This window comes from Homo sapiens, chromosome 7 (assembly GCF_000001405.40).
Source record: "Homo sapiens chromosome 7, GRCh38.p14 Primary Assembly".
In the NCBI taxonomy this organism is placed as follows: domain Eukaryota; kingdom Metazoa; phylum Chordata; class Mammalia; order Primates; family Hominidae; genus Homo; species Homo sapiens.
Window position 1 is genome coordinate 48,351,771 of NC_000007.14, and position 23,161 is coordinate 48,374,931.

The 23,161-nt window shown below is 39.3% G+C and overlaps 1 protein-coding gene across 26 annotated transcripts in view; it reads left to right on the forward strand.

The window, feature by feature from the left end:
- Positions 1 to 23,161, forward strand: part of ABCA13 (ATP binding cassette subfamily A member 13) — a 476,040-nt gene that overhangs the window by 180,313 nt on the left and 272,566 nt on the right. For 25 of the 26 annotated variants that reach the window (XR_926914.3, XR_926915.3, XR_926919.3 and 22 more), the window contains 4 exons: positions 411 to 717; positions 16,024 to 16,138; positions 20,398 to 20,727; positions 22,577 to 22,646. Coding sequence is in view for 23 of the 26 variants with exons in the window: in XM_011515130.3 (XP_011513432.1) it covers positions 411 to 717; positions 16,024 to 16,138; positions 20,398 to 20,727; positions 22,577 to 22,646 (822 nt within the window). In the remaining 3 variants the exon portion in view is untranslated. Of the gene's footprint in view, positions 1 to 410; positions 718 to 16,023; positions 16,139 to 20,397; positions 20,728 to 22,392; positions 22,647 to 23,161 lie in introns of those variants that run through there. The other variant, XM_011515146.3, reaches the window with a different exon arrangement.

The following is a 23,161-nucleotide window of genomic DNA, read 5'->3' on the forward strand; positions in this document are numbered from 1 at the left end:
GAATCCGTGTGGCATAAAATAGAATCCATGTATTTAAGTTATGAATGATAAGTAACCCCAAAGAGATGGATTCTGCACATTGAGTTAACATCTGCAATCAAGAGAAAAAAACCCTGCAAAAAACATCTGACAAATAATTTCTTTGTGTTGATTATACCACAGTTTGCTTTTATGAAAAATACAAAGCAGCACTGGACAGGGAATTAAGAGATCTTGGTTTAGGCTTACCACCAATTGCCTGTGTGACTGAAAGTCAGCTTTGCCACTGCGGGCTGGGGCTCTGAGTCTGCAGGAGTGGAGGGCTGTGAGTCTCAGGCTCCTGCAACTTTTCCTGTCTCACCCAGTGTAGGCGTGGTTTGAGCCACTCCCTACAGTGTGGTAATGCTTCGTTTTTCCTTTTCTGCCACTAGGTATCATTTTCAGCAATTCCTTATTCGACAAGAACTTCAGATCAGAGTCTGTCAAACTGCCACCCCATGTCTCATACACAATCCGGACCAATGTGTTATACAGCGTGCGAACAGATGTGGTAAAAAACCCTTCTTGGAAGTTCCACCCTCAGAATCTACCAGCTGATGGGTTCAAATATAACTACGTCTTTGCCCCACTGCAAGACATGATCGAAAGAGCCATCATTTTGGTGCAGACTGGGCAGGAAGCCCTGGAACCAGCAGCACAGACTCAGGCGGCCCCTTACCCCTGCCATACCAGCGACCTGTGAGTAGCCTGGGGCAGGAGCCACCGACAGTGAGAAGGGCCTTGCATTTGTCTAGCTGAGGAGAGAAAACTCAGTTTTTCTATGGTTATTTCAAAAAGCACTGTTAAAAAAGTTCACCCCCCACTTTTTAATTTCGTAAGGTTCATTTTTTTTATATGCTTGTACTCTTCAGGTAGAAGAAATATAATGGTTGAGATAATACAATCAAGTGAAGTTTTAAATTTGACATCAGGCATCATCTATAGTTTTAAATACACTTAAAATAAATTTGATGAATAACATTCACAAGGGCTGTGCATGTCCAACAAAAGATTCCACTTACCTAACCTTGGGAAAACTGAGGGAGGTTATTTTCTCTGCAGTGCAAATCCTTAGATATAGGCTGTATACTGGACAGGGTGGTGAAGGATTCCATACAGGCCTTGACCATGGCTTGGGTACCCATGAAGTAATATGAGAACATTTAGGAGTTTGATTGTGTAATTTGGCTGCTGACATCTATAGGAAGAGGGGAAGCTCAGTGAAGGGCTGGAGCAGCTGGACAAGAGGACTTGGAGGGGACATCATGGAGGCATTAAAACAGCCATCAGGGAGGCCAGGCAGGGGATGTTTGCAGAGAGGACGGGAGACTATGGTCGGACTGGGGCTCAGTGAACCTGAGGGTGAGCTTGGACACCTTGGCAGGTTCAGACAATGAACAGACTTCAAAGCTCACCAAAGCGGGGTGAGCCGTATTGCTGTGGGCTGTGGGGCTCAGCCTGGATTTCTTACTTTCCTCATGGTGCATACTGTTCTCATAAGCATTCTGCTCCCACAGCTGGCCTGGCTCTGGATAATGTAGGTCATTCATTTGCAATCCCTGCATGCTGGCTCTGATGCAGGGCCTCAGGAAGGTACCACCTTCCTACCCTCTCTCAAAAGCACACTAGGAAGTAAGTGGCTGAACATGAGGCTACTGAAGGGACCGGTTTGCGTGTTCTCTTAGTTATGAGAACAGGGACAAGTACTCATCCTTCATCGAAACACTGCCAGTAACAACTCATGGCACCTCCCACCCCTGACTGGGGCAGAGCCATGGACCACCAAGCAGAAGTCAGGACTGCCTCTCCAGGTGACTGGGCGACACACACGTGAGGATAGGTGACTTGATGTCTTGACCCCTCCTTCCTGTCTAGTGATAGGCTGCATACATAATAGCACATCCACACATTTTTTATGAAAATGCTGGTTGTACAGGAAGGACTTTCCCACAGTGGGAGGATAAAAGGCTGAAGACCACCTGATTGAACTCATCTTGGGATAGCCTAGTGTGGTGCGGTGAACAAAAGGTCAGGAAGAAAGAGACTAAGGCGACATTTTCACTCAGGGGCTGCCTTGTTAGGCAGACTGTTAGTAAGCCTCTTAACTTCTTTCTTTGTAAAATGATAGCTTTTCTTTCTTTTCAAAGTGATGATATTTTTGGCTATGAACATTTTCAACCTGTGATTTTCTGCTCCTAAAGCATGTTTCTTGGAGGTGATAGCAGCAGGAGCAGAACCGAAGAAAAGTGCTGTTGTTGGCTAGTTGTCATGCACAGACACTTCATACCCAGTGCAAACACCTGAGAGCTCTGAGAATTAGTGATCTGTGTTAGATACTGGGAGAAGCCGAAGTTTTATTATGCTCATTTTCTAAAGGCAAACCTGAAATCTATTGCATTCTGACAATCTCCTTCTAGCTCCAAAGTATGCTATGATCTCCACCCATGAAAGAGCGGGGTTGTGCTTACGTGGATGGGAACATGACAATTCCCTCTGCTCCGGTTCACAGGAGGAGACTGGGGGTTTACTTTGTCCACTCTGACATAGGATATTTCCCAAGAAGGCACGATGGGAAGAACAGCATACACTCCTACAAATGTATTGATGGAAATCCAGAAATGGCCTGAGTAATCAGTTTTCAATTCCTACTGATCATAGTGTATGGCTAACAGACATTGCAAGAGAGCTAGAAAGGAGGAATTGAGGGACATGGATGGAGACATATTTTTTCACCCCTTGAAGATAAATTCTGATGTATGAGAAACATTCCAGCCTAAAACGTTGGAATGAGTGGAATACCCAGGTATGATTCTGATCTCATGGAATTACCTCTCTTATTCTACTACTGGGATACAGCAATATAACTCCTCAGAAGTATTGCTTTATTTCTTTGAGAAAGATGAAGAAGTATTTTAATTCTCTGAAATATTTAAATCTTTGAGATTTCTCACTGTGCTATATCCATCTTTTATCTCTTGTTTCGAAGTCTCCCTTTCTTGAGGGCTTAGAGTACCTGCAGTGATTGAAACACAGTCTGAGATCTCGAAAGAACTCAGTCACTTGAGTAAAAATCCTAAAGCACAGTTTGTACTGTAGACAATGTTTGTTAAAATTTTTTTAGCAGTTTCCTCCTGCTTACTGAATGAGCTACATATTCATTAATTTATGAATTTATTCAATGACTTTTATGTACTATTTGTCAGTCTCTAGACTGAATAAGTAAAGAAAATAAGTAAATCAGTAAAGAAAATAGGTGAATCAGTAAAGAAAATAGGTAAAAATCCCTGCTCTTGTGAGACTTCCAGTCCAGGGAAGCAGAGGTGCCACAAATACAATTAAGAAGACAATTGCATTGAATGATAGGAAGCAGGAAGTGCCGTGGAGCTGGGAAATAGGATGAGCAGGGTCAGGGACACTAGGAGGGGAAGATGGAATTGTTAATGTGGATGGGGTAGACCCTATCAGGAAGGTAGCATTTTAACAAAGACTTGACGGGATGCAGAAGCACAAGGGGAAGTGTGTTCTAGGGCAGAGGAACCCCCCATGCAAAGGCCCTGTGGTAGGAGTGGCCTAGGGTATGTGTGAAGAGTCACCAGAGCAGAGTGCACAAGGGCAAGAGGGTGGGAGATGAAGTCAAAGAGCTGATTGTAGATTGCATGGTTGCAGGTGACTGGAGTGGTATTAAAAGACTGCTGGAGAGTTTCGAGCAGGAGTGATGTCATCATCTGACTTATACTGTAAAAGTCTTGCTCACGCTGTTGGGTGGAAAAGAGCTTGTAGGGGTATGTGTGGGACAGAGAAATCATTTAGAAGGCTGTTGTAATAACCCAGGTGAGAGATGATGGTGGCTTGGTCCAGTGTGGTAGCAGAGAAGCTGGTAAAAAGTGGTCTGATTCTTGGTTGCATTCAGGAAGTAGAGGCAACAGAATTGCCAAAAGATTTGATGAGGGCGTGATAGAGAGACATCGAGGAAGATTCCCCTATTTTGGTCCAAGTAACTGGATTGCTGGAATTATCTCTAACTATAATAGAAAAACTGTGGGTAGAGGTTTGGAGGATAAGGATAGAAACTCAGCTTTGGACATGTCTAGTAGGCAGATTTGTTCAGGAGGCTGGGACAATGTATGGATCTATTAATTTAGGAGTCTCCCCGATTTTGATGGCATTTAGAACTCTAAGATATTACCATGGGAAGGAGTATAGATAGAAAAATAGAGAGGGCCGAGACCAAATGTGGGGCCCCTCCCATGAAGAGGTAAATGAGAAGAGGAGATTGAGAAAGTATCATTGAGGCAGGAGGAAAACCTACAGAGTGTGGAATCCTGGAGGTCAAGCTGAGCAAAAGACTCCAGGAAGAGGAGTGATCAAGTGTGTCATATGTGGCTCATGGGTGAAATAAGGTAAAGACAGATAATCGACCATTGGATTTACACCATCCAGGACTTCATAGAGAGTAGCTTCCATGATGTGGTGAGAATGACGGCCAAATTAGAGTGGACAGAATGGAGACTTGGAGGGGTAGAATTGGAGAGTGAACTCAGACAGCTCTCAATGGGAAGAAATGGGAGGTGACTTCTTCTTCTTCTTTTGGAAGAAGTCTTTTTTTTTTTTTTAAATATAAGATGCTACCTGGGGAATAGTCCAGTAAGATGGGAAAATTGGTAGTGTATAAACGGGGGGGACAGCTGTGTCCTGAATTAGTCAAGGGGAAGAGACCTCAACAAGTGGAGAGACCTACTATAGGTGGGAACATGGCAATTCACCTGTGGTAACAAAACCTGTTTAACTCTATTTAACTAAAAATTTTCCACTTTTCTTGCACACAGATCTCTCTCTCTCCTCCTTTTATTTTTCATGTAGTATCTACCAGCAGCTCATGGAACTAATGTCCTGAAAGGCATGCATTGGAAAATGTTGCTGGAGACTGTAGAGATGGATAGGCAGCAGCAGTTTTTGAAATTGCATGTTCCTATCAACCCCCTGATTCATAGGCAGTTATCATAGAATAATTTTATGATTGGAACTGTAGTGTGTACTTCATGAATATAAAGGAATTCAAATGTTAATGTGTTGCTTCAAAGAATAAGCCAACTTAATAAACAGGTTTTCAGAAAACAAAAACCACAACAATATCCTGGGATTGTTTTATATGCACAAAGAATATTTATTTGAAAGGTCACCTGTTATTTCCTCTATTGCTTTTTGGCTGCTTCAATTCCCACCACCCTGGGGTGGGTTCAAGAGAAGGAGAAATGGAGCGTGCTGGGTCAGGCTGAGTGATGGCTCCCGTGAGGCGTTGCATCTGGACTTTGATGTGTCTTGGGCAAAGTGGAGAGTGAAGGGTTGACAGCCACTCATGCTTGAAATGTTGAATTCCTGCTTAAAAAAAAATCAGCTTGATCCACAACAGACCAGTGAGAGGACCTCTCATTTTATTTATTTTGATTGTTTCTCTTCCTTGGGCTCTACTTCAGGTAACTTTATTAAACACCTCTCTCTTCCATTTAGTCAATAGTCATTGTTCTCAGCAGAAATTCCCATTCTTGATGACCCTCAGCGCTCAGAGCTGCTGGAAGCCCCCTCTGTTGCCCGCAGGCTCTGTCCTGTCCCACCAACGCAGGTAATTTGTTGGTGATACCAACTGTAGTGGGAAGGAGAAGAAAAACCCTCATTAAATTTTACAATTCTTCACTTTCTCAAGCCCCACACAGCTCTTACAAACTTATCTCCTTGCTGGGCAGAGGAGGATGGTTTCTCATTAAAACCTCAGCAAATCGTTTCTCCAATTTGTCTATGTTCTTTCCCTCAACAGCAGCAAAGTAATCTCTTAAAATTGTATCACATTTAAAAAAATCATCTCACTTATTCTCTAAAAACCTTAAAAGTACAGTGGAAGAAATTGAGACGCTGATAGGGTAAGTTATTTCCCCCAAGATCTCACAGCATCTTAATACCCCTCACTCCCCAAATAAACTATTAATTGCCACTTGCTACTTTTAAGCACTTTGTGCAGGATGCTTGGTCACTTGGCTGCCATTTCACTCCATTGTATTTGAAAGTCTGGTATGTTTTCGGCCGGGTGTGGTGGCTCACACCTGTAATTCCAGCACTTTGGGAGGCCGAGGCGGGCAGATCACAAGGTCAGGAATTCGAGACCAGCCTGGCCAACATGGTGAAACCCGGTTTCTACTCAAAATACAAAAATTAGCTGGGCATGGTGGCACGCGTCTGTAATCCCAGCTACTCGGGAGGCTGAGGCAGGAGAATTGCTTGAACCCAGGAGGCAAAGGTTGTAGTGAGCTGAGATTGCACCATTGCACTCCAGCCTGGGTGACAAGAGCAAACTCCGTCTCAAAGAAAAGAAAAGAAAAAAAAGAAAGGACAGGACAGGACAGGACAGGACAGGACAGGAAAGGAAAGGAAAAAGGAAAGGAAGGGGAGGGGAGGGGAGGGGAGGGGAGGGGAGGGGAGGGGAGGGGACAATGCCTGCCTGGCATGTTTTCTTATATCCTAGCCAGAGCTCAGATTTGAGCAGTAGTTCTTAACCTTGGTTGGTGGGAGTTTGGAAGTGTATGGGGTGTTTTGATGGTAACAGTGGGGACCAGTGTATGTTTAGTGCCTAAGGGCCAGTGGTGACAATTGTTGTGTGATAAATGACACTGTAGTGTGCAATGAAGAATAGTCCTAGCCAAATTCCAAAACACCCTCATTTAGATCCACTGTTTGCTCTGCCTCTGGTAAATTATTTCAAGGGCCTTCATCATTCACTCATATAGTTATTCCTCTATTCATCTATGTAGAAACATTTTGTTTTCATATTCACTGTATGACACACATTCTATGCTGGGATGGATGCAGAGATCAGCACTATGCAGTTCTTGAGGTCTAGAAACTCACTGCTTAATGCAGTAGTTAGTGTACATTCATAACTAATAAGGGGCGAAAAGGGAGATACAGATACTGTAAAAGTGGCAGCACTGGGTTGCTCACAATTGATTTCATGCCTTCCTCTACCTAGTAAAATATAGGAGAATTTCTTGGTAGAATCTGTATGACCTGAGAGTCTGAATTAAGGTCTCAAAGTCTCCTTCTTTAGACATATTGGATCTTGACAGTGCATCTCACCTTCTAAGTTTATCCGATCTCTTTCGAGCTTCCTGGATCCCTTTAGAGTCTCAGACTTGACATGATGACAGAACTGGGATGAAAAAACTGCATTTGGGTGCCAGCTTTGACACTTGCTGGTTCGCAGGACCTTGGGCCAGTTTTGCGCCAGCTTTGGGTGTCGGTCTCCTCAGCTCATACGGGGTATTAACTGCTGTCTGCCCAGTGCATTGGCTTGTAGTGCGCAGTGAATTATCCTGCTTGAGGAGACCTTGAGACTTGTGAGGGGCAACGCCAGGCACTGTGAATGGGTGGGATGCTCTGAGTGGCAGCCCACTCCATTCTTGGGCAGCTTCAAATCTGAGAAAGTTCCTCCACCTACTGATGCAGAAGGTCAATCTGCATGACTCTGGCAATGGCTGAGTCAGGAACACTAGAGTCTTAAATGCCCCTTACTTCACCTTCCCTGACCTCCACTCACCTCCAATTCACAAATCACGTCAGACTTCAGCTGGCTGTGTTGTGCGGAAGGCAGCGGAGACAGAGCTAGCAAGTGACAGGGGCAACATGAGTGTGCCTCTGGTTCCATGAAAAGGAAAGGGAGGATAAAGGGAGAGAGAGAAAGTGGAGGCCAAATGCACTGGTCCTTCTCTTCAGCAGTTGCCCCCAGCTATGTCCTGTCTCCCCATGGTTGATGTGGACTGGTCCTGGGCAGTAGTGGTGATGGAGGCCGGTGGAGAGGGGCAGAAGCAGGGAAGGGCAGAGGCCGGGCTGATGTGAGAGGTGGTGGCTGGAAATTTGCCTCCTCCCTGCACTTGCCTCAAAGTCCTACATCCTGAGAAAACAAAACAAAAAACAGACAACAACAGCAACAAAAACCAGCTGATTTCTCAGGGTGGTTCTTTCTATAGTAAGACTTTGGTCCAACACGCCCATGACTTTTCTGTCATTGCACTCACTGATAGTGCTGACAGAGGCAAGTAACAGATCAAATACCAGGAGCAAGGCTTACTAAAATGGAAACCAAAAAGTCCACCTGCAGAAAAAGCAATGGTGACAATTAGTGTTTGTGAAGATCAGAGTATCCCTTTAGAAAGGCTTAAAGAAGTAAGAGAGTTTAATTTCCTTTTTTGTTTTTACTTTTATTTTATTTTATTTTTTATTATACTTTAGGTTCCAGGGTACATGTGCACAACGTGCAGGTTTGTTACATATGTATACATGTGCCATGTTGGTGTGCTGCACCCATTAACTCGTCATTTACATTAGGTATATCTCCTAATGCTATCCCTCCCCCCTCCCCCACCCCATGACAGGCCCCGGTGTGTGATGTCCCCACTCTGTGTCCAAGTGTTCTCATTGTTCAGTTCCCACCTATGAGTGAGGACATGGAGTGTTTGGTTTTCTGTCCGTGTGATAGTTTGCTCAGAATGATGGTTTCCAGCTTCATCCATGTCCCTACAAAGGACATGAGAGAGTTTAATTTCCTAATGGTATAATTTATAGATAGTTCTTTGATTTGGGTTCCAGAGAAGGGGAAACATACAGAGAATATTCTCGATTCTTAGTTTGATTCATGCTCTCCTGATAAGAGGAAAATCCTATTTCTGAGGTTACTGAGACATCCCTGACCTTTGTGTGTATGTTTTTTATTTTTAGTTCTATAAACAAGTGATATTCAAGAGTGAAGAAAATAGAGAAAATAATTCACACTTAATATCCTGTTCCAAATAGACACTTATTTGTTTATTTATGTTTTCTTTTGGGATGAGTCCCTCATTCTTTGTCGTTGTGATTCATGTTTTACAAACTAGAAATCGCAAAGTCTTGCCAAGAGTTAGCCTGAAAGTTTTTGTGCTACATACTCATTTGGGAACTATTTACGCAGTACTTATTATGTGTCATGCACTGTAATCGCATGACATATGTAGTAGGGAAAGATGTAGTCCTGCCTTGAGGAAGCTTGGAGAGCAGGGATTGTTATGACCGTATTAAGATGAGACAACCAGCCTGGACAGCATAGCAAGACCCCATCTCTACAGAAAATAAACAAAATTAGCTGGGCGTTGTGGTGTGTTCTGTAGTCCCAGCTAATTGGGAGGGTGAGAGGGGAGAATTGCTTGAGCCCAGGAGGCTGAGGCTACAGTGAGCCCAGATCATGCCACTGTACTCCAGCCTGGGCAACAGAGTGAGACCCTGTTTGGAAAAAAAAAAAAAAGACAAGAAAACTACGAATGACTTAAATCTGCTCTGCTGTGACCCCGCTCTAGTGGAGACTGCAAGGGACGAGAATCACAGCACCTCTTTAAAACTTGGTACTCAGTGCAGTTGTTGTTGGTGATACATAATACATAATGCTTCAACTTTAAATATGAACCACTTCCAATTATTAAGATCCTAGAAGAGAGAAATTAAAGTCAAAAAATGAAACAATTTTCTTCTCTCCCTTTCTCCCTACTCATCCTCCTTCATTCCTCTCTCGGTGTGGTTACTCCTCTTTTAACATGCTTTTTCCTTATTTTAAAAATTCATGATGTGCAAGTTATTTCATTCTTTTCTTATTTGACTTCTGTTTTCTCAAAGAACCCTATTTGGACTTCATCAATTCTCTCTTTTGTCTCATCTAACTTTTTCTGCTTTTATTTTTATTACTTCCTTACTTTTCTGTATCTTCAATATATTCTTTTATAATTTGAGACTAAAGTTTAATTCATTATTTTTAGTTTTTTTCTTAAATATTTGTAGTTAAATATATTATGTAGGTAATATATTTAACATAAGGTAATGACTGTTCTTTCAACTCCTACCTTATATCCCATAGATCTCATATGTAGCTAACAATTTATTGTTTTCTAGATGCATGCAGTACAGGTTTCTATTTTCTCTTTGACCCAAGAGCTGTTTAAATAAAGCTTCTTTTAATTTCCAGGTGAAAATTCTCAAGAATTTTAAATATATGAAAAACTATGTTTACACAGCTTACTTGTAATAAGAAACATACAAATTAAATCTGCTTTGTAATAGTATGTTTTTACATATCAGAGGGACAAAATACAAAAATTGCATTATATACTAAATTGCCAAGTTCTGTTGCTAAATCTTAATTTCTGAATTGCAGTCAAAATATGATTCTTATTATTTCTGTTTTGGTATCAAGTAATATATAACCCACTTTTGTGAATGATTTGTAGACACTTGAAAAGAATTTCTAATTCCCTATTTTAGGGCAGAGAATTTGGTCTGTGTTATTTTTGTTATGTAGGATTTTTCTATCCTTAATTTATGTCGTCTTGATCTGTCTTAGACTGGGATAGGTAAATTATACTCCCTTATTACTTGGTTGTCCTTCTCTCTTTTTCCTGTGGAGTTTGGCTTTTGGATATTTGTGCTTTGTTACTGTGTGCATTACTATGAATAATTGTGTCTTTTAATGCTTTGTGGACATAACTCTACCTTGTTTGATATTGAAATGGTGAACTCTGCTTTTTTTCCCTTCTCTTCACTCTTCCTCTTCTTCTTTTTTTTTTTTTTTTTTTTGCCTTTTGGTGTTTCTATTTGCTTGATATGACTTTGCCCATCCTTTCATTTAAATTTTTTCTGAAGCATTTTGTTTCAAGTGTGTCTCTTGTATGCATTATATAGCTTCTTATATATGTGGCCTTAATTCTTTGATAGTATAAAATGCAATTATAAATTATATATAGTCTTGCCTCTATCTTGTGTTTCTTATGCTTATAATTTTTCTTTTAAGCTAATATTTAATAATGTTTTATTATTATTGTAGTGGTTACCTTATAATTATAACATTATATAAGTAATATAAACCCTTGTTTTTTTATCACAAGCAATAAAAACTTAAAATATGTTCTCTTATTTCATCATATATTTTCTCTTGTCCATCATGCAATTTTAGCTGGTATTGTTAATCTTACTTAATGTTGCCTTTTGTACTGTTAAAGACACTTATACTAATATTCTACATTTGCCAATATTTTAAAAAATAGTATTTGAGTTTGGCATGCACCAACTTTTTCTTCGTCTCTAACTCATTCCCCATTATCCTTCCATTTGTTTTTCATATCATTTCTGCATTTCAGGGAATAGTAGCATTTCCAATCTGTCTTGTAACCTTAATTCCTGTTTTTGTTTTAGTCTTGCTTTTACAGGAAAATGTACTCATTGCTTACCATCAGCCCTTTCACTGTAATTTACCAGTCATCATTTGGCGGGATGAAGTTTGCCATCTAGTAATTTCCTTAAGAAGCTCTCATAAGATAATATAACCTGAATTCCTACATACGTAAAACTCTTTGTAGCATTTATATTTGAAGGACATCTTGGCTGAATAGAAAACCCTTGGTTCATTCCTTCCTTAAGTATCCTGTAAAAATTGTCTTTGGTCTTAAATGTTATTATGGAGAAATCTGGGGCCACATTGTTATTTTCTCCCTTTTATATAACTTGGTAATTTTGGCAAGCTGCCAGTAGCTTGAAAACGCAATAAATTTTATAAGAGTATGTTTCATTGTTGAACATTCTAGGACAATTTTCTATGATGACAAGACAAGTCCTTTGGATGTGTAGATTTTAATTTTTTTTAATGGAGACTCTTGATGTATTCTAGCTTTGCAAATTTAGAAATACTTAGTTTTTCTTTTTCAGGGAGTTTAATTGCCTGCGTTTCTTTTCCCTGTGTTTCTAATCAATAGATTTTTACATTTTAAAAAACTCTATTCCTGTTTCCTTTAGTTGCATTTCTTGCACCTATTTTCTACATCCCTTACTGTATTTTGTGCAGTATCAATTTGGCCTGTGTTTCTTCCAATTTTATTCTCCTTTGTCTGATGGCTAGTTTTTTTCACATATTTTTTCTAAGTTCTTCCAATTCCCATTTTATATCTTTCTGCTACTTTACCATCTCATTAACTCAATTCTAATGATTGTGCTGTGTGGTGTTTCTTATAGAGGGGCTTGCCTTGTTTAAATTGTTTAAATATATTTAAATTGTTGACAAAAAGTATGTTCACTATTATCATCTGTTCAATGAGACCAACTTTTTCGCATGGGTTTTTCACTTGTTAATAATTATGCAACTCTCAATCTCTTTTTATTTCTTGCCCAAATGTTGTGCTAAATTTTTGTTACCGTGATTGTTACTCATCTGGAATGAATTGGATATTCCTGTCCAGGTATCTGCAAGAGGGTCCTGGTGGTGGTGAGGACCAGGTGCCATTAATGACCTTACAGCTCAAAAGCTTACTTTTCCATTGCCACAAAGATAGAGTGCTTCCTGAAAACATATGGATTTCTCACATAGCCTCCGTCTTCTGTTTCCCTGGAAATAGGGTCTAGGAGAAGGCTTCTCACGCTAGTCAATGTAACTTTTTTTTGCTTTTTTATTGATACACAGTAGTTGTTCATATTCATGAGTTACTTGTGATAATTGGATACATGTGTACAATGTGTGATAATCAAATCAGGGTAATTGAGATAGCCATCACTTCAACAATCATCTCTTTGTGTTAGGAATATTACAAAGCCTGTCTTCTAGCTATTTTGAAATATACAAGTTATTGTTAAGTACAGTTCCCTTAGTGTGCTATTGCACACTAGAACTTATCCCTTCCCTCCATTTGTACACACTAAACAACCTCTAATTATCTTCCCCTCCCCTTTACCCTTCCCAGCATCTGGGTAACTCACTACTCTACTTTCTACCTCAATGAGTTCATTTTATTTTTAGCTCCCACGTATGAGTTAGAACATATATTTGTCTTTCTGTGTCTGGCTTATTTCACTTAATATAATGTCCTCCAGTTCCATCCGTGTTGCTTCAAATAACAGGATTTTTTCTTTGTAATTGCTAAATAATATTCCATTTTGTATATATGCCACATTTCTTTATCTTTTCATCCATTGATGAACACTTAGGTTGATTCCATATCTTAGCTATTGTGAATAAGTCTGCAATAAACATGGGAGTGCACATATCTCTTCGATATACTGATTTTCTTTATTTTAGATATACACTCTGCATTGGAATTGCTGGGTCATATTGTAGTTATATTTTTTAGTTATTTGAGGAAACTCCATACTGTTCTCCACAGTGTCTCTACTAATTTACATTCCCACCTAACAGAGTGTGGGTTTTCCCTTTTCTCCAAATCCCTGCCAGCGTCTGTTATTTTCTCTCTTTTTGATAGTAGCTATTTCAATTGGGGTAAGATGATATCTCACTGTGGGTTTGATTTGCATTTTTTTGATGATTCATGATGTTCAGCATATATTTGTATAACTGTTGGCCATTTGTGGTCGTTTATTTTTGAGAAATATTGAGTCAGATCTTTTGCCTATGTTTTAATTGGATTATGTGGGTTTCTTGCTATTGTATTTGTTTGAGTTTCTTGTATATTCAGGCTATTAGTCCCTTGTCAGATGGATACTTTGCAAATATTTTCTCCCATTCTGTAGGTTGTCTTTACACTTTGCTGATTGTTTCCTTTGTTTGCAGAAGCTTTTTAGCTTGATGTAACATCATTTGTCTATTTTTGCTTTTGTTGTCTGTGCTTTTGAGGTCTTACACAAAAAGTCTTTGTCCAGAATCAGTGTCCTGAAGCAGTTCTCTGATATTTTCTTCTTGTAGTTTTATTGTTTTGAGCTTTACATTTAAGTCTTTAATCTATTTAGAGTTGATGTTTGTATATGGCAAGAGATAAGGCTCTAGTTTCATTCTTCTGCATATGGTTATTCAGTTTTTCCAGCATCATTTATTGAAGAGATAGTCCTTTTCCCAATGTATGAACTTGGAGCCTTTGTTGAAAATGTGTTGGCTACAAATGTGTGGGTTTATATTTGTGTTCTTTATTCTGTTTCATTGGTTTATGTGTCTGTTTTTAACCAAAGAAGTGAAAGATATCTACAAAGAAAACTATGAAATGTTGATGTGATGTGAGAAGTTAAAGAGGACATAAAAAATGAAAAGATATCCTATGCTTATTGATTAAAAAAATTGTTAAAATGTCTACATTACCCAAAACAATCTGCAGATCCAATACAATCCTTATTAAAATACCAATGACATTCCTCACAGAAATAGAAAAAAATCCTAAAACTTATATGGAACCACAAAAGACCCAGAATAACCAAAGCTATCTTGAGGAAAAAAAATGAAGCTGGAGGCATCACACTACTTGTCTTCAAAATATAATACAAAACCATAGTAATCAAAGCTTTAGTCTCCATTTTATTTATTTCTGCTCTAATATAAAGTCTTTCATCAAAGAAAAGCCCAGGACCTGATGGCTTCACTGTGACCCGTGTTCTGCTTGCTCCAACCTCTGGTCCTTGCCCTTTTTTTTCCTTTGCCTGGAGCAGTCTTCCTTTAGATACCTGTGTGACTCATTTCCTTACTTCATCCGCTTTCTGCTTGAGTATTTTTTTCCCGCTGTCAGCTCAGCTAATCACCCTGTCTGAAATAGCATTCCTTCTCACTTTTGGTTAAGCTAGTTCTTTTTTACTCATAGCATTTATCACTACCTGATATTATGCATCTCTGTTTTAGTCCTTTCTGTGCTGCTATCACAGAATACCCGAGACTGGGTAGTCTGTGAAGAAGAGAAATTTATTTGGCTCATAATTCTGGCAGGAAGTCCAAGATCAGGCAGCCTTTCTGGTCAGCTTCTGCTGAGGGTGTCATGCCACTTCAACTCATGGCGGAAAGTGTAAGGGGAAGAGGGTGTGCGCTCCATACATGAGAGGCAACCCTGCTTCATAACAGCCAGCTATCTCAAGTACCTGGAATCTATCAATCCAGTATCCTGGAAACTCAACTTGTCTCATGAGAACTGCATTAATCCATTCATGAGTGTGGAGACCCCATAACCCAAACACCTCTTAAAGGCTGCATCACCTCTCAATACCATCACATGGGCAATTAAATGTCAACATGAGTTTTGGCAGAGACAGAACATAGCAATCTCTGTGTTTATTGGATTATTTTATGTCCCCTCCCACCTTGCCGACACACTGGAATGAAAGATCCTTAATGGCAGGACCTTTTTCTGTTTGGCTCATTCATGTATCACCAGCCCAGTAACACGGCTTGTACCTTCAGTTGGTCTCAATGTTGAATAAATAATTATTATGTGGATTTAGAGCTCAGAGAGTATGTGGTGAGAAGACAGAGGGTCCAGCTTGAGGTAGGAATGCCTACATTTAAAGGCAGGTAAAGGAGAAGTTGCCAAGATGTGGGTGCAAAGCTGGGAGTTGTTCTGGAAGCTAAGAGAAAAGAGAGGAGGAGGGAATGACCAATGCCATCCAACATGTCTGAGAACTCAAGAAGGAAAATGACTGGATAATTCTCATTGGATTTTGAGGCATGACTGTCATTGATGCCCTAGATAAGAGTCATTTCAAGTGTATATTAGAAATGGAGCCCAGTTAGAGTGGGTTGAAATATGAGTGTTAGGAAAATAGAAAGGAAGACTTTCATTTGCCAATTTTCACGTATTTTGTAGATGATAATCTGTGATCAATTAATATCAATAATTGAAGATAGATAATGGTCCCAATTAAATGGGGGAAATGGCAGGCATGGATTAATGACCTGCTTTGCTCCAACCTGCTCTGCCTATGGCAGGTGTCAGAGAGTATTGTGGTTGGGCTATGGCTCTCTGAGAGATCTCGAACCAGTTGTGTCTCCTTCATGGGTTCCTTCATGAATTTGCATACCTACAAAATCAGCACACCAATCATGGCCCTCCTACCTAAGTCACAGGCATGTAGAAATGACCAAAGGAGATATCACTCCTGAAAGAGCTTTCTAACTTGGAAGAAAAATGTAAAAAATTAGTAGAGTCATTTTGCTTGTCTCCGGATGCTGACTGAATTATCCCCTTACAGATTCCTGAACAACGTTGGTTTCTTTTTTCCACTGATAATGATGCTGACGTGGATGGTGTCTGTGGCCAGCATGGTCAGAAAGTTGGTGTATGAGCAGGAGATACAGATAGAAGAGGTAAATATCCTTAAACCTTGCCTGGGAGACAAAGATAGGGAGGCTGGGGACTTTGGAAATGGATCTTGTCCCATAACCAACCTGAGCCTCTCTGTTTTGCTTCCCTCTCCTCTGCTGGGGTTCTGGTGTACAAAATAGCTGAGTCCCTGTTCCAGAAAGAAGATTTTATGTTGAAGTCTGAAGCAATGCCAGATATTTTCCACTGACATGAAAGAAAGCCAAAGAATAGCCACATGAGATTGCAAGAACAAAGCCAGTGTTCCTCATTCAGCAACTTTTTTAAAACCCAGAAAAACATAGCAGCAGACTTCCCATCTTAATTTATGCTTAGAATTTTTTATGTAGAGACCCTGCTATTTTTTTTGTAATACTGTTATAAAACTTGAAACTATCATAACTTAAATTTTTTTATTTCCATAGGTTTTTTGGGGAACAGGTGGTGTTTGGTTACATGAATAAGTTCTTCGGTAGCGATTTCTGAGATTTTGGTGCACCCATCACCCGAGCAGTGTACCCTGTACCCAGTGTATAGTCTTTTATCAATCACCATCCCCAACCCTTTACTCTGAGTCCCCAAAGTCCAAAGAATCATTCTTATACCTTTGTGTCTCATAGCTTAGCTCCCACACGTGAGTGAGAACATATGATGTTTGGTTTTGCATTCCTGAGTTACTTCGCTTAGAATAATAGTCTCTAATTCCATCCAGGTTGCTCTGAATGCTATTATTTCATTCCTTTTTATGGATGAGTATATCCCATGGTGTGTGTGTGTGTATGTGTATATATATATATATATATATATATATACACATACACACACACATTTATATATATACATTTATATATATATATACACACATATACATATACACACACACACACACACACAGACATTTTCTTTATTCACTCATTGATTGATGGGCATCTGGGTTGGTTCCATATTTTTGTAATTGCGAATTGTGCTGCTATAAACATATGTGTGCAACTATCTTTTTCATGTAATGACTTCAGGAGTGGGATTGCTGGTTCAAATGGTAGATCTACTTTTAGTTCTTTAAGGAATCTCCACACTGTTTTCCATAGTGGTTGTACTAATTTACATTCCCACCAACAGTGTAACAGTGTTCCTTTTTCACCGCATCCATGCCAACATCGATTATTTTTTGATTTTTTTGATTATGGCCATTCTTGCAGGAGTAGAGTGGTATTACATTGTGGTTTTGATTTGCACTTCCCTGATAATTAGTGACGATGAGTATTTTTCCATATGTTTGTTGACCATTTGTCTATCTTCTTTTGAGAATTGTCTGTTCACGTCCTTCACCCGCTTTTTGATGAAATTGTTTTTTTCTTGCAGTTCTTTGTAGATTCTGGATATTAGTCATTTGCTGGATATATAGATTGTGAAGATTTTCTCCTGCTCTGTGGGTTGTCCATTTACTCTGCTGATTATTTCTTTTGCTGTGCAGAAGCCATTTAGTTTAATTAAGTCCCAATATATTTATCTTTGTTTTCGTTGCATTTGCTTTTGGGTTCTTGGTCATGAAGTATTTGCCTAAGCCAATGTATAGAAGGGTTTTTCTGATGTTATTTTTCTAGACTCGTTATGGTCTCAGGGCTTAGATTTAAGTCTTTTATCCACCTTGAGTTGATTTTTGTATAAGGTGAGAGATGAGGATCCAGTTTCATTCTTCAACATGTGGGTTGCCAATTATCCCAACATCATTTGTTGAATAGGGTGTCCTTTCCCCACTTTATGTTTTTGTTTGCTTTGTTGAAGATCAGTTGGCTGTAAATATTTGGTTTTATTTCTGGGTTCTTTATTCTGTTCGATTGGTCTATGTGCCTATTTTTATACCAGTACCATGCTATTTTGGTGACTATGTCCTTATAGTATAGTTTGAAGTCGGATAATGTGATGCCTCCAGATTTGTTCTTTTTGCTTAGTCTTGCTTTGACTGTGTGGGTTATTTTTTGGTTCCATATGAATTTTAGGATTTTTTTTTTAGTTCTGTGAAGAGTAATGGTGGTGTTTTGATGGGAATTGCATTGAATTGCAGATTGCTTTTGGCAGTATGGTCATTTTCACAATATTGATTCTACCCATCCGTGAGCATGGCATGTGTTTCCTTTGTTTGCGTCATCTGTGATTTCTTTTAACAGTGTTTTGTAGTTTTCCTTGTAGAGGTGGTTCACCTCCTTGTTTAGGTATATTCCTAAGTATTTTATTTTATTTTTTGTAGCTATTGTGAAAGGGGTTGTGTTCTTGATTTGACTCTCAGCTTGGTCACTGTTGGTGTATAGCAGAGCTACTGATTTGTGTACATGAATTTTGTATCCTGAAACTTTGCTGAATTTATTTATCAGTTCTAGGAGCTTTTTGGATGAGTCTTTAGGGTTTTCTAGGTATATGATATTATCATCAACAAACAGCAACAGTTTGATTTCCTCTTTACTGATTTGGATGCCCTTCATTTCTTTATCTTGTTTGATTGCTCTGACTAGGACTTCCAGTACTACATTGAATAGTAGTGGTGAAAGTGGGCATCCTTATCTTGTTCCAGTTCTCAGAGGAAATGCTTTCAACTTTTCCCTGTTCAGTATAATGTTGGCTGTGGGTTTGCCATATACGGCTCAGACCATAGTGAAATAAAATTGGAAATCAACTACAAAAAGAACACTCAAAACCATGCAAATACATGGAAATTAAATAACATGCTCCTGAATGGTTGTTGGGTCAAGAATGAAATCAAGGTGGAAACTAACTGAACTGAATGATAATAGTGATACAACCTATCAAAACCTTTGGGATATTGCAAAAGCGATGCTAAGAAGAAAGTTCACAACGTTAAATATCTACATCAAAAAGTTTGAAAGAGCACAAATAGACAACCAAGGGTCACACGTCATGGAACTGGAGAAACAAGAACAATAGAAACCCAAACCTAGCAGAAGAAAAGAAATAACAAAGATGAGAGAATAACTAAATGAAATTGAAACAAAAAAGTACATTTAAGTCTTTACTCCATCTTGAGTTAAGTTTTATATAAGGTTTAAGGAAGGAGTCCAGTTTCAATTTTCTGCATATGGCTAGCCAGTTTTCCTGGTACCATTTATTAAATAGGGAACCCTTTCCCCATTGCTTATTTTTGTCAGGTTTGTCGAAGATCAGATGGTTATAGATGTGTGGTCTTATTTCTGAGATCTCTATTCTGTTCCATTGGTTTATGTGTCTGTTTTTGCTCCAGTACCATGCTGTTTTGGTTACTGTAGCTTTGTAGTATAGTTTGAAGTCAGGTAGCATGATGCCTCCAGTTTTGTTTCTTTCTCTTAGGATTGTCTTGACTATACAGGCTCTTTTTTTTGGTTCCATATGAATTTTAAAGTAGATTTATCTAATTCTGTGAAGAGTGCCAATGGTAGTTTAATGGGAATAGCATTGAATCTATAAATTACTTAGAGCAGTGTGGCCATTTTCATGATATTGATTCTTCCTATCCATGACCATGGAATGTTTTTCTATTTGTTTGTGTCCTCTCTTATTTCCTTGAGCAGTGGTTTGTAGTTCTCCTTGTAGAGGTCCTTCATCCTTCACTTCCCTTGTTAGCTGTATTCTTAGACATTTTATTCTCTTTGTGGCAATTGTGAATGGGAGTTCATTCACGATTTGGCTCTCTGCTTGTTTCCTGTTGGTGTATAGGAATGCTTGTGATTTTTGCACATTGATTTTGTAACCTGAGACTTGGCTGAAGTTGCTTATTAGCTTTAGGAACTTTTGGGCTGAGACGATGGGGTTTTCTAGATATAGGATCATGTCATCTGCAAAAAGAGACAGTTTGACTTCCTCTTTTTCTATTTGAATACGCTTTATTTCTTTCTCTTGTCTATTTGGCCTGGCCAGAACTTCCAATACAGTGTTGAATAGGAGTGGTGAGAGAGGGCATCCTTGTCCTGTGCCAGTTTTTAAGGGGAATGCTTCCAGCTTTTGTCCATTCAGTATGATATTGGCGACGGGTTTGTCATGAATGGCTCTTTTATAAAAATTTAATTTAATTTTAAGTTCCAGGATACAAGTGCTCATGAAAATCAAATACCAAGCTTGAGGAGGCAATGTCCTTCCCAGGGCCCTTCACAGGGCTGAATTTGCAAGCAAGCAGATTTACCTTTCCACTGGTCCACCTTCTTTCTCCTACCATCTGATTTGTTCTTCCTCAAGTACGCATGCTGTGGTAACCTTGGGTTTTTTCTCTTTTTGGTAGTATATGCGGATGATGGGAGTGCATCCAGTGATCCATTTCCTGGCCTGGTTCCTGGAGAACATGGCTGTGTTGACCATAAGCAGTGCTACTCTGGCCATCGTTCTGAAAACAAGTGGCATCTTTGCACACAGCAATACCTTTATTGTTTTCCTCTTTCTCTTGGATTTTGGGATGTCAGTCGTCATGCTGAGCTACCTCTTGAGTGCATTTTTCAGCCAAGCTAATACAGCGGCCCTTTGTACCAGCCTGGTGTACATGATCAGCTTTCTGCCCTACATAGTTCTATTGGTTCTACATAACCAATTAAGTTTTGTTAATCAGACATTTCTGGTAAGTAAGTTGTTTTGTAAAAAAAAAAAAAAAAAACAACAAAATTGCAATCTATCTAACAAGACAAAATCCCACCACTCTCACTTTTTCAATTTGTCATGTTCATATCTACATGGGCTTTCTGATATCTGCTTTTTAAAATCTTACCCACAAATGCAAACCGTTGAAACTGCAGGGTTTTTGCTGGACAGCAGCCCATTAAGAATGTCCAGTTTTTACATAACAGAGACTTTCTGCAGATTCTGGAAAATAAGCAACATTCTTAAGGAAGCATATAACTTTATTTTCTCTTTCATGCACAGAAAAAAGCTAGATTTCTAAAGCAATTTTAGAAGTAAAAAATAAGCATTTTTTCTTGAAACATTATGAATTACATCACATTAAGTGGAAAAATCTCTCTGTTAGCAATGTCAGAGTCACTCATCCATTTAAAATGTACCTCCTAAAAACGTATGATAACACTTTCAGGTCTGTAACATCAAATACGTAGAACATAAAAAAGTATTCATTCTTTTATGGCAATTGCTGGCAAGCGCAGTGCCTGACACATAGTAGGAACTCAATCAAAGCGAGGGTGAACCATCACTATTAAAATGATCTGTTTCAGAGAGCCAGTGGCATCACTATAAACACTTGCACTGTGCTCAAGACTTTATTCTCTCCAGCAGGTCAAGTGACTTCCTAAAATTGCAGTCTGTTGAGAGATAAGACAGAGTCATTAACAGAGACTTTGGGGAGGTGTCAAGGAGACCTAGATTACGGGGCTGCTCAGGGGTATTTAAAGGCCCTTAAAAGTCCTTTAGTCCAGCACAGGATTCATGACGGCCCCAGTGCTTCACTCACTTATTGGGAGCAAAACACCTTCTCTGCTCATTTAGGGCCTAGAGTAAAATATTTCTATGAAAGCCAAGTGATTTGTCTTCAACTTCAGTAAACGATTCAAAGCTGTCTGGTTTCTACTAGCCATATGCTCACAACAAAGATATACATACAGAATGAAAAAGTGGTTATATTCCATCAGTGTTTTATCTATTGGTATGTGTTCATTGGTCTTGATTAGCTTATGTTACATTTGTAAAAACCCATAACCAATAACTTCCTGTTAGTGTTAATTAGCTGTTTTCAGAATAATTAACACAAGTGGGACCATTGGTGGTCCTTCCCCATATACTCCTTGTACATAGAAAAAGAGTCATCCATGATCTGACCTGATTTTCAGATGGTGTTATTTTTAATTTTACTTCAGTCATTATATTCGTGGGTTCTGTGCACATAAAATTTGATTTTCTGTTTACATATTCAAATGCTTTCTAGCAAGTAAAAAATATCTAACTCTGGTACACTGTATTTTTTAATGTAAGATATTTTTTTCAATGGGGTTTCGTTCTAACATAAGACTTCTCCACTGAGATACAATAACATTTTTCTTCAATACACCTTCTTTCTAGTGTAGAATAGTGTATGCATTCCATCAGTCAGCCTGCAGTGTGCTCCAGGGCATTCACTTAATAATAAAAAATAGTAAATTACTCTATTCCAGTTTTCACTGTTTTGTGTTACACATTTCTGTGTATGATACATTGGATTTATGACACTTCAAGCATCTCGGTAAAGAGAAATAATTCCTTTTAACGTTAAAAACTAGCTTGTTATCATGCTTTTCAGAGTGGGCTGACATTCCGCTAAGATTTTCAGATCAAAATATTTAAATGACTGCCTGAAGCGATGGTTGGGCGTCATCAGAATGAAAAGTTGTCATGGCTTCGCTCCTTGAATTAAGTGTTGTGGATTTTCTGTGGTCCCAATCAAAACACTAACGTGCAGTTTTTCTCCATCAATCTGTGGGCAGTGCCTTCTTTCGACAACCGCCTTTGGACAAGGGGTATTTTTTATTACATTCCTGGAAGGACAAGAGACAGGTAAGAGCATGCATGTGTAAAAAGTGACTCTCAGTGAATCACGTTTTTGGAAATTAATAGTTATATTGCAAGTGATCCAGTAGGAAGTCTTCATTATCAAGTAGAGCATTCAGAATGAGGTTTGGATATTTGCTTTCACTGTTGTATACACCTCCCACTATCTGGTAGCACCAGTTTTGAGAACAATCAAGAATAATCATGGCATCCCTTGCTTCAGACACTATCCAGGTCAACCACCCAGCCAATGCTTGGGTCTTCCTTATACCACCCTTGACGTCTGGTCTGGTGAGTGACCTTCTGAACCTTCCAAGATAGGGTGTGCAAATGTGTCCATCTGTTAGATCAGGGGTCCCCAACCCCTGGGCCATGGAGCAGTCCGTGGCCTGTTGGGAACTGAGCCTTACAGCAGGAGGTGAGCAGCAGGCAAGGGAGAGAAGCTTTGTCTGTATTTACAGCCACTCTCCATTGCTCACGTTATCGCCTGAGCTCCACCTCCTGTCAGGTCAGTGGGGCCA